Source organism: Homo sapiens, chromosome 1 (genome assembly GCF_000001405.40).
Source record: "Homo sapiens chromosome 1, GRCh38.p14 Primary Assembly".
NCBI classification, from domain to species: domain Eukaryota; kingdom Metazoa; phylum Chordata; class Mammalia; order Primates; family Hominidae; genus Homo; species Homo sapiens.
The window spans coordinates 181,305,180-181,320,567 of NC_000001.11; the positions used below are offsets into that span (position 1 = coordinate 181,305,180).

The 15,388-nt window shown below is 46.6% G+C and overlaps 1 protein-coding gene and 1 long non-coding RNA gene across 11 annotated transcripts in view, besides 2 other annotated features; both read left to right on the forward strand.

Annotated features, from left to right (window-relative positions):
- Nucleotides 3,042-3,542: an enhancer, noted in NCBI's record as "H3K4me1 hESC enhancer chr1:181277357-181277857 (GRCh37/hg19 assembly coordinates)". NCBI's record gives its function as "activates a minimal SCP1, AML or CMV promoter by ChIP-STARR-seq in primed H9 embryonic stem cells {active_cell/tissue: H9 hESC(primed)}" and the evidence as "EXISTENCE:reporter gene assay evidence [ECO:0000049][PMID:30033119]".
- Nucleotides 4,034-7,149, forward strand: LOC107985454 (uncharacterized). The gene is made up of 3 exons (XR_001737809.1): nucleotides 4,034-4,207; nucleotides 4,569-4,665; nucleotides 7,077-7,149. It is a non-coding gene; the product is annotated as an uncharacterized LOC107985454 (long non-coding RNA).
- CACNA1E (calcium voltage-gated channel subunit alpha1 E) overlaps nucleotides 12,520-15,388 on the forward strand; it is a 490,386-nt gene continuing 487,517 nt past the window's right edge. For all 10 annotated transcript variants that reach the window (XM_017002244.2, XM_017002243.2, XM_017002249.2 and 7 more), the window contains exon 1: nucleotides 12,520-12,944. The gene's annotated coding sequence lies outside the window, so the exon portion shown is untranslated. The remainder of the gene's footprint in view (nucleotides 12,945-15,388) is intronic.
- Nucleotides 13,220-13,850: an enhancer, noted in NCBI's record as "H3K4me1 hESC enhancer chr1:181287535-181288165 (GRCh37/hg19 assembly coordinates)". NCBI's record gives its function as "activates a minimal SCP1, AML or CMV promoter by ChIP-STARR-seq in naive H9 embryonic stem cells {active_cell/tissue: H9 hESC(naive)}" and the evidence as "EXISTENCE:reporter gene assay evidence [ECO:0000049][PMID:30033119]".

A 15,388-nucleotide genomic window follows, 5' to 3' on the forward strand; every position in this document is an offset into this window, starting at 1 on the left:
CAGATTTTGGAGTATTTTAGATTTTGCATTTTTGCATTAAGGATCCTCAACCTGTACTTTAAAAAATGTTGAAAGTGTCAAGTTCAGGAGGAAGTCCAGTCTCTGGAGCAGGCCCAGATGGGATTAGTTTTGATCCTAATAATCCTTCAACAGTGATTTCTCTACTCCCCTATAGCAAAGCCTGCCTTTTCTGGGTTGAGGCTGATGGTGAAGCTCACGTTTTAATGATGAGTACTTCTCCATAGGAGAATTTTCTGCCTCTTAGGTTCTGAGCCTCACTATGGCCACTGCTAGCCACTTGGAGCTAGATGGAATCAGGGCAGTGTCAGGTGTCACATCTCCCATCTATGAGCCCACAGGACTGTGCTCAGCAAGCATCCCAGTCTGCAGAGCAGGTGTAGAGTTGAGATGGCAACATCTTCTTAAATCTCCCATATATGAGATTGCCCTTCAGTCTGACAGCAAGAGGACCACCTTACCTCCAGCGGGGGAATATTGTGTCTACAAAAGCACAGGGAAAAGGGATCAAAAATGGAGGTCTGTTCCCTGAATCCTGGGAAATGCAATCACTGGATCCTGCCATATTTTCTGCCTCTCGTGTAACTTTCACACTAAGTTGTAGTCTCTTTCAAATATACCATTTCTTTCATAAAGCCTTTTGAGATTGTCAATAATCTCACTTAAAAAATCTCTCCAAGAACTGAGTATTTGTGGACTATGTTATCCCCTGTTTTGTCCTCTAATAATTTCATATGTACATGTCCTGTCTTCTCTATCAGTCTGTAATAATTTTCAGGGCTGGATCCCATTTCTTGAACAATTTATCTACCTATCAGTGCCTAACATAGGACATGTTATTAGAGTAAAATTGGTTTGAACTTGAAACCAGGAACACATTTTGACAGCTCAGAGCTCTGGGTTTGCAGTAGAAAATAATGTCTGTGAATTTATGTCTGTAAATTTCACTGTAGGTGGTCACAGAGCAATTTTAAGAGTCGAGGGCTCCAAGTTTGCAGTGCAGAATATTAGGAGTAAATCTTTAAAAGAAACAAGTAAATGATGGACCTGTGTGTCTGAAGATTTCAATTTAAGTAGAGGGGCTTAAAGCCAAGATGAGGATTATCAAGAAAGCAAATATGGCTATTTCAACAGGATTTAACCAAGTTAAATCCTGGGGCATGATCCTGGCATTTTAATTGAAATTAAAATTTAACATCAATGAAGTAAGAACACAGCACTGAATAAGAGTGGCACTTTAGTCTCATCCTGTACACAAAATGTCAGCCTGACTTTTTCTCCCGGAAGGTTCTGTGAGACCAAGGAATTTTCTAAGCAGGGTGTCTCTAGATCAGCAACGAGTGTTACATTATTGTTATTCTAGTCACAGATGGTTTTTAGACATTCTGTGTCCATCAGTTTGTTTCCTGACCTAACAGGATATACTATTTACATTGTCTTGCTGGGAGTGCTATCAGCCTTGTTATGTTCCATAGGCCTTTTCTCCTGATCCATCTTGTGAATAGTCCTCACTGATTTCTCCCTCCACTGAAGTCCTAGCACTTATCGTCCATGCTGCCCACGGACTCATCAAGTCATAATGTCTTGTCTTTGATGCCCACCTGGTTCAACTCACTCACCTTACACATGAGAAAACCAAGGCCCAGAGTGCCGTAGTCAGTTTCCTAAGGTCATGCAGTAATTTGATAGCAAAATTGTGATTAGAATCTGAGTCTTCACAGTTTGGTATGCTTCCACCTCCATGGCACTGCTCACATTTACTATTATAAACATATAATAATAGAAATAATAATAAAATGATAATGTGGTATGTTTGTATAATGCTTTGTGCCTCATTTATTATATTATTATTATTTTTTACTTCTATCAAGACAGTACTGATTTGGTTAGAGGGCCAGTTCTTACAATATTTGGTCCCTAGAATTGAGCTCTATTTACAAAAAAGTCTTTTTAAAAAAACTAACAAATTGTATTTGTGATGCACAACATGATGTTTTGAAATATGTCTACATTATGGAAAGGTTCAATTGTAAGCTCTGTTTTTGGGTGGGAGCACTTATTAGGATTTTCCATGGCCCAGAGAGACTGTACCGACTCTGTCCTCCTTCCCTGGTTATGCCTCTGTGCTTACCAAGCAGCCTTCCGAGGACTCATGTGGTCTTGCAGATACACTGATAGGAAGGAGGTAAGCTGGCTGGAGAATTTGAGTACATTACTTCAGGCCTCGGAAAGAATAACTCCCTGAGTAAATTAATAAACCGGCATTCTAGTTTCTCAGTCTCTGGAAACTTTGGCTTATGTGAACTATCCCCTGAGACTGGTTAATTTGGAGGGGACAGACAGAACTGTGTTTTAGAAGCTGCTCAGCCGAGATCAGATCTTCGCTGATGATGGCTCTGCCGGGCCATGACTGTGTTGTAGGGCTTGTCTTAGGAACTGCAAGTGGGCCAGCTAATCACAGTTTTATGATGAGCTACTTGATTTCTGGTTCCGTTTGGTACGCCCCATTTTATGCAGAGCTAAGGCACTTTCACAGGCTGGGTTTCGTACTCACAAAGCTTGATTACAACGTCAGCCCAAAAACAGCCCAAGAGGACCGCCGAGGCAATCCTAGACAGCTGTGAGACAAAGGGGATGCCCGGCTTTTAATTCAGGTGAGGGCAGATTCCAGTTAGAAAAAAATCCTGAAGCCAACGAGAATTTGCTACCATTTATCAAACAATCTCATTCTCCAGAAATCTCATTCTCACCTATATTTAGGACAAACAGTAAGTGGGCCTGTTACTGTGCCATCAGCTCAAACCACCCCAAAACTCAGAGGCTTAAAACAACGATCATTTATTCTCAGGGACCAGCAGGTGAGCTGGGGCAGCTTTCCTTCAGGCTACAGTGGTGGCATAGCTCTTCTTCATGCATCCCTCCTGCTCCTCCTGGGACTGGTGGGCCAAGCTGGGCATGTTCCTTCCATGGTGGAGTCACAGGGGCAGGTGAGACAGCCCTAATGTGCAAGCACACCTCAAGCCCCTGCTTTCTCGTGTCTGCTGCATCCCTTGGGCCAAAGCAAGTTACATGGCTGAGCCCAGCTTCAAAGGCCAGGGACGGTTCCCTGCCTTCTTGTGGGAGGAGCTGCCAGTTTTACACAGCAAAGAGTGTGGACACAGGGAGGGCTGGAGGACTGAAGACATTAAGACAAGCAATCCCCAGGGCCAGCTGCTATTTGGAATTCTTGGTGACAGGTTTTTGTTATTCATCGTCCCTGGGAAAGGTTTATCTACATGATGAGGTCCTTTTAAAAGAGAATGTGGTAACAGTTTGGCAGTTCCTCAAAAAGTTAAATGTGGAATTACCATATGACCCAGCAATTCCACTTCTGGGTATATCCCCAAAAGAATGGAAAGCAGGGACTTATATAGACACTAGGACCTCAATGTTCACTACAGCATTATTCACAATGGCCAAAAGGTGGAAACAATCCAAATGTTCATTGAAAGATGATTGGATGAGCAAAATGTGGTATGTACATCCAATGGATTAGTATTCAGTCTTAAAAAGGAGGGAAATTCTTACACATGCTACAACATGAATGAACCTTGAAAACATTATGGTGAGTGAAATAAATCAGACACAAGGGATATGTGTGGGATGAAAAATACTGTATGAATCCACTTAACATGAGGTACGTAGAGTAGTCAAATCCATAGAGACAGAAAGTGGAATTGTGGTTGCCAGGGGCTGGGGACAGGGGGAATGGAGTAATGGTTTAATAGGTACAGAGTTTCTGTTGGGGAAGATGGAAGTTCTGTAGGTGGAGGGTGGTGATGGTTGAACGATGTGAATGTACTTAATGCCACGAATTGTATACTTTAAAATGATTAAAAGGGTGAGTTTTATGTTATATATATTTTATGTTGGCTTGGTCATCAGATCTTCAGAGAGACCTGGGGCATCAGATATGCAGAGAGGGTGTGAAGATCCTGCCATCCATTCTAGTATGAAGGCCTGTGTGTCTCAAAGATGAGGAGAGAAGGAAGCTCAGGTCTGAAATATTTGGATTAAATATGCTTATGAAATTTTTATTTGCAGAATTAAATCCATTTGGCCAGGCTAGAAGTTTGCTCACTTTGTAGAAACTGACTCAAGCTTGTATACGAAAAGTCCTGGGAAATGGTAGGATTCAGCACCTGAGGAGGTAAAATGAGGGCAATCTGGGGGCTAATAAGACTGTGGTTTCTTTTCTCACCTTTTGTTAAATGGGTAACATAACAGATGCATGGGGAAGGATGGTGGACCCAATAAAGCCAGCAAAGTAACAATGAAGCCAATATGAGTGCTTAATGACACCTGCAGAGCTTGTCAGGGACTACGCAAGGTTTTGATGGGAGAGATGCCCAAACCTTCCTCTTATGATGGTTGGACTATTAGTATGTTTTCTGAGAAGAGAAAGCTAATGGGTGCCTCAAAACCTACCAGCTTCTGGTGTAGAAGGAGGTAGGTTCACCTGTCTAAATATATGTGCTTTTCCTTTTTTCCTTCCCAAATATGCTCTTCAGAAATATGCCAATGACATTGATATCTCAGTGTGGTGAAGGAGGAAGGAGGCACTTGTCTTTAACCTTGACAACTGAAGAGGACTTCCTTTGTGCAAAGGTTCTGTGCCTTTATTGTTTTCTGTTTTCTCCCTGTCTCTTCTGTCCCTTATCTCCCTGGACTTGGAAAGAGAGAGATTCTAAATGGCCACCTTTCTATGTGTGACAACATTTTTAGGGTATCCACCTGGGAGGACAGGGTTGGCACATGCTGAGGAAGCAGTACATTGTCTAATCAGTTGTACCTGCTGTTAGACCTGCCTCTAGGATACAGCATGGGCTTGGGATGAGAATATCTTTTCTTTCCTTTTTTTTTTTTTTTTTTAAGATGGTGTGTCACTCTGTTGCCTGGGCTGGAGTGCAGTGGTGCGATCTTGGCTCACTGCGATATCTGCCTCCCGGATTCAAGTGATTTTCCTGCCTCAGCCTTCTGAGTAGCTGGGATTACAGGTGCCCACCACTACGCCCAGCTAATTTTTTGTATTTTTAGTAGAGAAGGGGTGTCACCATGTTGGCCAGGCTGGTCTTGAACTCCTGACTTTGTGATTCGCCTTCCTTGGCCTCCCAAAGTACTGGGATTACAGGCATGAGCCACTTTCTTTCTCTGATGACTCATGTGGTCTTTGCTTGAGAATTCTGGGCCTTGGCAAGTTGTGTACCATTAGGCTCTCTGAATAGACAGACCACCATTGTCTGCGTTCCCTGGAGATGTGGAACTAAATGTTATTTCCTTGGTCTTGGCCTTTCCCTCAAGCAAATACAGCCTCATGAAATTCTGGGTATGACCAGAGTCCCAAGAACCATAGGCCTGGGTGTCCAGCCATGGTTCCTGAGGGCAGAACAATAGAAATATTGCAGAACAGACCCAGCAGCAACCAGATCAAAGGCCCAAGGAGGGCAACCGACAAGGCTGCCTGTGGTCCTAGGTAATGGAAAGTGAAGGGACATTTGGTGAGTCATCACCAGAGCATCCATGGGGCTCGGGCAGAGGCTGCTGGGAGCACTGCCTGCTGTAGTCCAGGACCATCCCTTCCTGATCAATGGAAATGCATTCCTGCTTGTTCTAGTCTGGTGCCAAAGATGAACTCTCCCACTTCCCCCTCCTTTTACTCTAAACATCCCACAGGGACAGAATAAATAATGATTCAGATCAGTTGTCCTCAGAGTGGAGACCTGTCAGAGATCTCTCAGGAATGATGTGTAAACAGGGATGGGAAAATGAAAACTAGAAAAGCCTCAGGTGGGCTGTTAGAGAGGCATGAAGGCACCTGTGGCAAAACAGTTCACAGACTGTGATGGTTTTGGAAAACTATGGTTACTTTTTCTAAAATAGTCAATATGTGTGGATTTTCAGGATTAAAATTTGCAACCTTCCCTGAAAGGTAGGGAGGTGGTACTCAGACTTCTGTGTAATTGCAGTGTTAGGAGGGTGCATGGGAAGTTATCTTCCCTATTTCGTTGTCTTCAGGCAAGACCAACCAAGGCACCTGACTCAATTCCAGCCCATTTAAAAAAATCTCCATTTAAAAAATTGCTTGGCTTGTTTTTATTATAATGTTTATTGAATATTTTCTATGTACTATGTTCTTGACAGGCATCATCTCCTTTAATCCTTGCAATCACCCTATGAGAAAGGTATTGCTATTATCCACATTATACAGACAAGAAAACCGAGGCCTAGAAAGGTTAAATCACTTGCCCAAACCCACGTGTTGTTTGCTTAGTGGCTGCTCTGGCAGTGAGCCTGGCATCTGACTCCAGAGCCTTAGCCTGGAGCACTGCTTGGGAGCCGTTCCTCAGGGTCTCGCTTTGGTGTACCTTCTGCAGTTTTGTCTCAGGACACCATAACAAAGTGCCACAGATTGGGTGGCTTAGACAATTGAAATTTATTTTCTCACACTTCTGGAGGCTAGATGTCTGAGATCAAGGTGCTGACAAGCTTGGTTGCCTGACTTTGCTAGCATGCTGTTCTTAGACTTCCAGCCTCCATGGCTGTAAGAAATAAATTTCTGTTGTTTATAAGCCACCCAGTCCATGGTACTTTGTTATAGCAGCCTGAACTGACTAAGGCAATAACCATTTAAAGGTCCCCTGGGAAGGGACATGGAGTGGAGAGGAGATACCAGTGTTGGAGCCCTGTCCCCATTCCTGTGGGCTTATGCTGGTCTGGGCCCTTAGATTTTATTCTCTCGGAGATTCTTATGAATTAGTAAATATGGTTTTTCTTTCCCATTATAGGGTGGTTGTCTTTCTTGCATAGAGGAGAGGGGATGGGTGTATATGATCTTGGCTGCTCCTAGACCTTAATTAGCCTGAGACTTTTCCAGGGTAACCCATCTGTTGAAGTCAGAGTTTTCCATTTCAGAATTTTATCTCTTTCCAAGGTACAGCCAGAGCCCTAGGAAGGGTACGACTCTATTACAATATACTCGACTTGAAACTGTAACTAAAAATGATGGTGATGAATTGCAGACAGAGCAAGCAAGTGAGCGAGAGAGCATGCAGGAGTGAGCAAGCAGCATCTGTTGAATGGTGAACCCCAAGAGTTCAATTACCCCAGTTCTCGCTGCAGAAGGTAACCATGGAAACCTCATAATCCAAAGCATCACCAGTCTCCGAGCAAAATACACACACAACACACACACACACACACACACACACACACACACACACACACGCATGCCTCAAGAGGGCAGTATGTATGTATGCGTATGTGTGCATATGCCTATGTTTCAGTTATTGTGTATGAGGGGTGTGTTTGTGTGATACTTGACAGTTTGCGTTGTGTGTATATCACATGGAATTAGTATGGGCATTTGCTGCCATGCTTTCCGGTTCTGTTCTCAGAGGTGGTGAAAGAGTGCAGATTTGTCCCAATGTTTGGGTGCTGCACTCAAAGATGGTTAGAACGTGGGAGAGGACGTGCAACTTCGGTTTAGTGGAGGGTAATGTGGTGGCAGGGTTTGGGCATGTAGGAAGGCTTTTAACTTATTTTTTTCCCATGTCAGGTTTCTATTGCACAAAAGGGTACAGGATTGAATTTTTTACCGGCTGGGAGTTATATTCCTGTGGAATGGGGAAACTCAGTGTGGATCCATATCGAACTTCTCAAACAATCTAATGCGGATGTAAATCCAGGTTTGGGGGTATCATTTTTACAAAGCAGTGTCTTTTTTCAGGGTATGTGCTGGTCTTTTTGTATTTTTTCTCTTTTCTAGCTTCCTGCTTTAAACCTCATCCTTTTTTCTTAAGCTTGGGGCTAGCTGCGTATTGCATGAGGGATATGTGAATGTTGCACTTGGGGAGGGGGTGGTAGGGACAACTCATGAACATCTGCTAATGAAATATGTCACTCAGTATGTGCACAATATCAAGAAGACTGTGTGTCACTTGGCAGATCTTTGAGTGTAAGGCAGCTCCGTCTGGATTAAGAATTATTTGTGTGTGGGGGGGGTGGCTATATGAAGACTGGGACTTCAGATAGGCATTCCTACGTTTCTGAGTGATGAATGGGGCGGGGGGGCACACACCATGCAAAACCTGGCCCTGTGTTAGAGGTTGTCTCAACTTAATGGTAGCTCTGTGCACACAAGTATAAGGGCTTATGTGTACGTGTGTTTACCAGCTCTGTCCCTCCCGCTTTGTGTGATGTATGAATGAAAGAGAATTCATTAGGAGGCATTGGGAAGAAACCCTGTCTTTTAAATTCTTGCCTTTCATTCACATTTATAGCTGAGGGTTTTTAAAGTATAGAGGTCTTATTTGTCCATAAAAAGATGATTACCAAAAGAATATTTTATTTTCTGTTTTTAAAGCAAGCTGCTTCCTGGATGACTGAAATCCACATTGGCATCTCCCAGCAGCGGCTTGAAACACTGCCCACATGGCCCATGTGCCTCTGGTAGCACTATCCCAGCCTCCGTCTGCTCCCAGGAAGAAAGGGCCAGGCTAAAAGGCTGGGAGACATTGGATGTTAGGCAGTTGCTTGTAGCTCTGACACCATGAAAGGAATTCCTAGCACTGGATGTGTAAAGTTACCTTTTAGGTTTGCCCAAATGGCACCAGGGCAACCCCAGAGATGGGCTGAAGAGAACCACCCACTTGGCATTGATCACTTTCCCCATTCCTGCTGTTGCCCATCCTCATTTCCTTCAGGAGCTGGGTTGTCCACCCAGAATGTCTGAAAGATACCCTTGCTCTTGGCCCCCCACCTCCTCAAAACAGTCCAGGGAGGAGGAGGTCTCCTTCCCTCTCTCTGCTATAGTACGGGGGGGGGGTGCTCCTGCCCAGGCTTCCTACCCTGTGCTCCTTCCAGGGCATGTCTTGAGTGTTTAACAAGCAATGATTCAGAAACCTGTGGCTTTAGTTTATTTACATTTTCATATATCTACTTTTTAAGTTCATTCCAAATGGTAGATTCTGGAGATACGGCAATGAAGAAGGCACTCTTTTTGCCCTTAGTGAGCTCACACGCTAGTCAAAGTGCCAACAAATAAAAAGGCAGTTATAGTACTATACAGTGAGATAAGATCCAATAGGGGTTAACCCAGGACACTATGGGAGCTTCTAAGAGGGGCACTAGCCCTGTTTTGGGGAGCAGGGAGGTTTATTAGAAGAGCTGATGTCTGATCAGTAATCTAAAGGGTGAAGGGGAATTATCTGGGTAAAGGGAGGTAATGGGATGCTTTCCAGCAAGGGGGAATGAAGTATTTGTTAGAAACATAACTGCTTCACAGGTGAAACCTCATGGCAAATGGTATTCATGAGAGATAAAAACTGAGGGGTTCGGGGGGAGAGAGAGAGAGATGGAGAAGTACAGGAAGCAAACAAACACGCAGAGGGAGGGAGAGACAGAGACAGATGGGCAGAGAGGAAAAGCTGGATGGTCGGGAGATGGCGAGACAGAGAGAGGACCACAGAATCATGCATTGTTAGGGCCAGAGGGAACCAGAGCAGACATCCACAAGCCCCTCATTTTAAAGATAAGAAAATGGAGGCAAAGAAAGGCTAAATAATTTGCCAGAGTCCCAAAGGTGTTTAGTTGGAATGCTGAGTGAGGAAACTAGATCTCCAGCTTCCAGTGGGTTGCAGAAAGAGGAGACAGAGGGAGACACGTAGGGCGAGAGCAAAGTCAGAGATGGAGGGAAGAAAGCTAGGTAAAAGCACGGCTGGCTGAGATTCACTGGCGTCTCACTGTCAGGATTATGGTGTGGAGTGAAAGCAGGGAAAGTTTAGATGACAACTCAGCTGGGTTTCTTTCTTTTCCTTTCCCCTCTACCTTTTCCTCTTTCTCACTTTCTCTTTCCCTTTCCAACCACATCTTGCCTACAACTAGATGTCAGGGAACTGGTTGCCATGGCTACTAAATAGCATTCGCGCAAGCTGAATTATTAAACCAGGGTCTTTTCTTTGAAGCCCTGGTCCCAGTATGAAGTCCCGTTAGGGGGCGTCATGTGGGGCATAGGTCTGAGCCAGGGTGCTTTCTTGCAGGTCTGGCTGAAAACCGAGAGGACAGGGAGGGCATCTTGGGCACTGGGCTCTTTCCCTTGCTAGATGTATAGAGGTCTGGGGGTGGGGGGAGGTGCACCAGCGCGGGTGGAGGGATGGAGGGAGACAGGCCCTGTGTGCTGCTGAGAAGAATTCCTGCATCCCAGCCTGGTTCCCCTACCTCCTCTGTCTAGAGCAGCAGCCACAACTCATTCAAATGGGACAAGAACAAAAACCAATCTTTTTGTTATGTCTGAAAGGACACCATATCGTTCTAAGTAGTTGTTACTTGTGGCCAGGGAAGGAAGAAATAAAATGGCAGGTATGTCCGGGGGATCATACTTGGGCATCTGGCATTGAGCCCCCTGCATGGATAGGTAAAGGGAATGGGTTGTGGGATCATCTTGTTGGTGAGCATCCCATGCTCCCAATTGTGTGAATGCATTGTCAGAGATAGTCTTGTTTGTGGGTACAATTGCTGTTTGTTTTGACGGTGGAGAGGAGCGGGTATGGACACTCTGCTCTTTAGAAGATTCCAAGCCAGGAAAACCATCAGCCGTCTGGTATCCTAGCTCTTTAAACTTTTTCATTAAAAACAAAAAAAACCCACACATAGTAGAGTGAATGCTCCTGCTACGGGCTGAGGGGAGAAGGCCTGGGTGGCTGGTAACTATGCTGTGTGTGTGTGTGTGTGTGTGTGTGTGTGTGTGTGTGTGTGTATGTTGGGGTAGTGGTGGGGGCATGAAGAGTATATTTTGGGGTTCATGGAGTTATTCTCCTTCCCCCGAGCTCCAGCAGATTCTGAGGTAATTTCTTAAAGTGGGGAAAATCTCCTCCTCTCCTTCACCATGTTGTGCTTCTGACCTGGGGGTTTGAATCCTACGGCCAGGCTCTTCTCAAGGGCTCAGGAGAGGCCCCCACTGCACTCTTATGCTTGAACAGAAAAACCAACCAACCAAACAACCTTTTGATATGGGAAACCAGACCTCCAAGACTGTTCTAAAAATCTATCAGCCTCTGAAAAACTGAGGTGTAGCCCTGATTTTTTTCCTAATGCCCTGCCAGAACAGTTTTTTTTCTTTTTAATGTCAGGCTAAAGCCCAGCTTTTGAAAGTCTGATTCATTGACTCAATTCTTTTCAGGCTTGGTGAGAATTTTCAGGACTTACCTGGCCCTGGGGCCAATGTCCTGGCTCCTCACAGCATGAGCCTCTCAAGCAGACCTTCTGGGGGTAAATTGGGAACTAGCCAAGGAGGGTACATAGCCACCCTTTTCCTGCCACAGCTGAGGAAAGGTGAGAGGAGCTGTTGGCATGGTGGCTATTTAGTTCCCTTCAGTGCACGTTTCCACTGTGTGCCAGGCTCTGCCCTCAGCCATGGAAACTCATGGCCAAGTAGGAGGGCCAGCTGTCGTCATTCAGCCCTGGCCACCCTCAAGCGAGGCCTTCTGAGGACTTGACCCACCTGGGCCAAGGCTAAGCCAAAGCAATGAGTGGAGAGGGAGAGAACGCTTCTCTTTCTCTCCCTCCTCCTTCCCTGTGACTCCCTTCTCTTCTTGTCCCTTCCAATCCCACTGCCTCCTCTTCTCTCTTTTTCTGGAGCCCCTCTCTTCTCTGACTCTGAGCTCCTGGAGGACAGGAGGCAGTTGTTCATAAGCCACCTGCCAAAGCCTCCCTAGGGACCCTGCTGGGCCTTGTAAAGATGGGTGGGTGGGACGGAAAGTCATTACCTGCAGGGTTCTGGGAGACATTTCTATTATTTTTGAGGGAAAGATATGCAGAGAGCCAGAGAAATGGGGGAGAGGATACCCTAGAGGGATTCAGGTCTAGGAAGCCTTGGAAACGCCAGTTTGACTCAGTTTTGGGGCTGTTGATTTTTTTGTGCTCCTTAACTGCCCACAGGAAACAGGGTCTCCCTTAGAGCCCCCAGCTAGCTCCTGGAGACCTTCAGAGAGCCTCTGGATCAGTCCACAGGCAGCGAACAGGCTCTGCATCGGGCTGGGGCTTCCCTTGGGAAGAGTCTGGCTCAGGGGCTGGTCCCCTACACCTCTCCTTCCCCCTTAACTTGATCCTTGAAGCCCCCAGTTCTCTTGTTTCTTTTTAGATGTAATCATGTTTTTCCTCTCCCTGCCCAGTAAGGCCAGCGGCCAGGACCCTGGTGAGGTCCAGAGCTGGAGCCCAGGAAGGGGCCATCCCGCCCGCAAACGAGAATCGGGTACTCCAGTGGAAATCGCCCGCGGAAGTTTGAGGTTATTGAACTTTTCCACAGAAACCCTGACCTAAATTCTTGACCTCAGGCTGTTTACAACACAAATCCCCGCCTAAATGAAGCCTCGTGGTGCCCCCCTCCCCCCGCCCGCCGCCCCCAGCCCCGGGTGTACGCGCGCTCACGCCGGCGTTCAGCTCCCACCCTCCCGCCGCTCCCTTGCCGCCTCGCGCGTGCCGCCCGTGTCTGGACAGCGCTATCTTCTGCTGTCTGGATATAGCTCTCTTCCCTCCTCCTTTGTTAGTCCCTGGTCTGCCCTCTCGGGTGGTGGGCATGTATGCGAGTTCTCTTTCTGATTGCCAGAAATTTCTTTTCCACTGTGTGAGCAAGAGACAGATTTTTTTAAATTGTCTCTCTTCTCTTTTATTTATTTTGTTCTCCATTTGTGGCCCTCACCTCCGCCTGCCTTCCTTCCCCATTCTTTCTGTGGATTCCTCCTTCTTCCCCCTTCAATTTCACCATTTCTCCTCCCCCGTCTTCGCCCTCCCATCCCCACCCCTTTCCCCTTTTAAAATAATTCAGTGATGTCTCGGGAATACTAGCACACCCTCTTCATTCAGCTGAGCGCGGGACTCTGCATTAATTCAAGGTAAGCCCCGGGTTTTTACTGCCAGAGATGTGTCTGTCTTGCGCCCCGCATGCACTGCCTGCGGGGCTGCGCTGCACTCCCCGGCGGCGCCACGGGTCTGGCCCCCGCGCTTCTACGTGTTGGGGGGATGCATGGACCTTGGAGATCCGTAGTTGGCCCTAACCTTCTCGGAATCTCCTCTGCACGCGCTGCCTGTTCCTCCTCTGCACGCTCTGTCCGTTCCTTTGCAACTTCTGTGGGAATTGTCCTGGCGTGGGAAACGCCCCCGCGCTCTTTGGCACTTAGGGTGTGAGTGTTGCGCCCCTTGCCGCAGCGCTCAGGGCAGCATCCCGCTCGAGGATGCAGGGTTCTCACCAAGCAGTGAGGGGGACTCACGCGCCGCCGGGGAGCGGAGCCAGGCTCCGAGAAGGGAGCAGGCTCGAGCCGCTGGGTTTTCGCAAGCCTTGGGGCCTCTGGCCGCCCTTCCATGCCTCCGGGCGCGGGCGGCTCAGCAGGTCCCCGGCTTCGGGAAGTTTTGTGCGCGGATCGCTGGTGGGGAGGGCGCGCGGGCCAGTGGCTGAGCTTGCAGCGAAGTTTCCGTGAAGGAAACTGCATGTGCCTTTGGAGGCGACTCGGGACTGCTGTAGGGTGGACTGGGTGTCTATGGAGTTGCGGGTCAGAGCGAGTAGGGTGGGTCCTTTCCTGGGACAGGACTGGGAATTGGGGCTCGAAGTAGGGGAGGAAAGAGCACAGAGGAAGCCAGGCTGCATAGGGTGACTTGCTTTTTGATCCGGCTTGAGTCTCCTTGTGCGAGAGTGGTTGTGCGTCCTTTCCCAGGGATGGAACATCCAGTTTTCTGTGCTTTTTTGCTTTGTGCCCATGTCTTGGAGAGAATAATGGGAGACACTAACCCACCGACGTCTCCCTTGAGATCGCGGCTTCCTCCTTGCGCAGAGGACTGAGGTCACTTGCTGCAGTCGTGTCTGTGAGTCTGGCTGCTCAGAGCAGATGATTCAGGCTGTGGGTGCGTGCAGAGATCTGGGGGCTTGTCGTAATGGTTCACCGTGTTGGAACATTGATGCATACTTACTCTTGGCTGAGAATCACACTGTGTCATAGAGGAAAGGCTGGGAGTCAGGATAAGCTTAATCCACAGAGCAGGCTGAACTCAGAGAAGTGTTTTCCTGCAAGGAAAGGATGTTTCTGATGCTTAAATAAGGGCATTACTTTATCTCCACTGAGGTCAGAACCAGAGGAAAAGGGGCTTTCTCTCCTGGGGTTGGGATTTGGGCTAGACACCAGGAAAAAACTTCCCATTTGCAATTCCAAGATAAATTGCTAATGGGATATAGAACTTCCACTGTAAATACGTGGGTCTTGTAGGATGGTGCAGCGATTTCTACCATCTAAACTAAGATGACCATTTCTTGTTGTTTGATTCCATTCTACTGTTCTCTCACATGCTAAGTTTCTGACCAGCTAAGAAGTTTTTTACCACTTTGTAGTATAGTGTAATCATATCATTTATGATTGACTGATTGTCCAAGCTGGGACATTTCTGAGAGTGGACAGAGATGTTGGTAATAATTACACATGGCCAATGAAGACTCCCATGCAGATAGAGATAAATGATTGCCCTAAGAGTGACTGTATTTATGCTAGGTTAGAGGTAGGGATAATTCAAGAGGCAACATGTGTTGGTTTCATGTCATTTGGATCTTGCATCGTTTTTCCTGACTCAGATTTCTAATGGGCTTTATTTCAGTTCCCTCTGAAAATCCAGCTCTCAAATACAAATCTCTGTCCTTTGATGAACACCTTTTTCTCCAATTACATGAGTCCCTCTGAAATGCCCATTCCTGGAGTGGAGCTTCATGCTCTAACTCTGCAGGGATGACAAACTGAGAGTGATTTACATCTATTCCTCTGTCTTCTTGGTTGTATTTATGAGTCTGGGACTCCCAGGAGGCTGTCCTTCTGCCAGGAATTGTGAGTGTTGTGGTGATGGTAGCATGATATACAGTGACCCACAGAGTCACATGGTTGAGCTATCGGATCATCGCTGTCACAGCGCCTCCACTCCTTGAAGGCTAGGATGTGTGTGTTGAGTGTGAGAGAGAAGGAAGAGGAAAAAAAATCCTACATGTCTGGATTTCAAACTGAGAAACTCATGTTCAAGAAGCATCCTATTGTGGAGAAATGTCTGTTTTTTACTTCCTTGCTTGTGTGAGGGAGTGATGAGGACTCTTACGGATGTGTCAGTCACACCTCCATCCCCCTTGCAGCCCATAAATCTGCCAGACAGCTAAGTTCCTGCAGGGCCTCAAAAAGTGTAGTTACCATTGATTGATTGCTTATTGCTATATTTTCCAAATATTATACCAAGCAGCTTCCAGGCATTTTCATAATTAATTGTTAACCAATCCTATTAAGTAGGTATCCCCATTTTATAGATGAGGAAACTG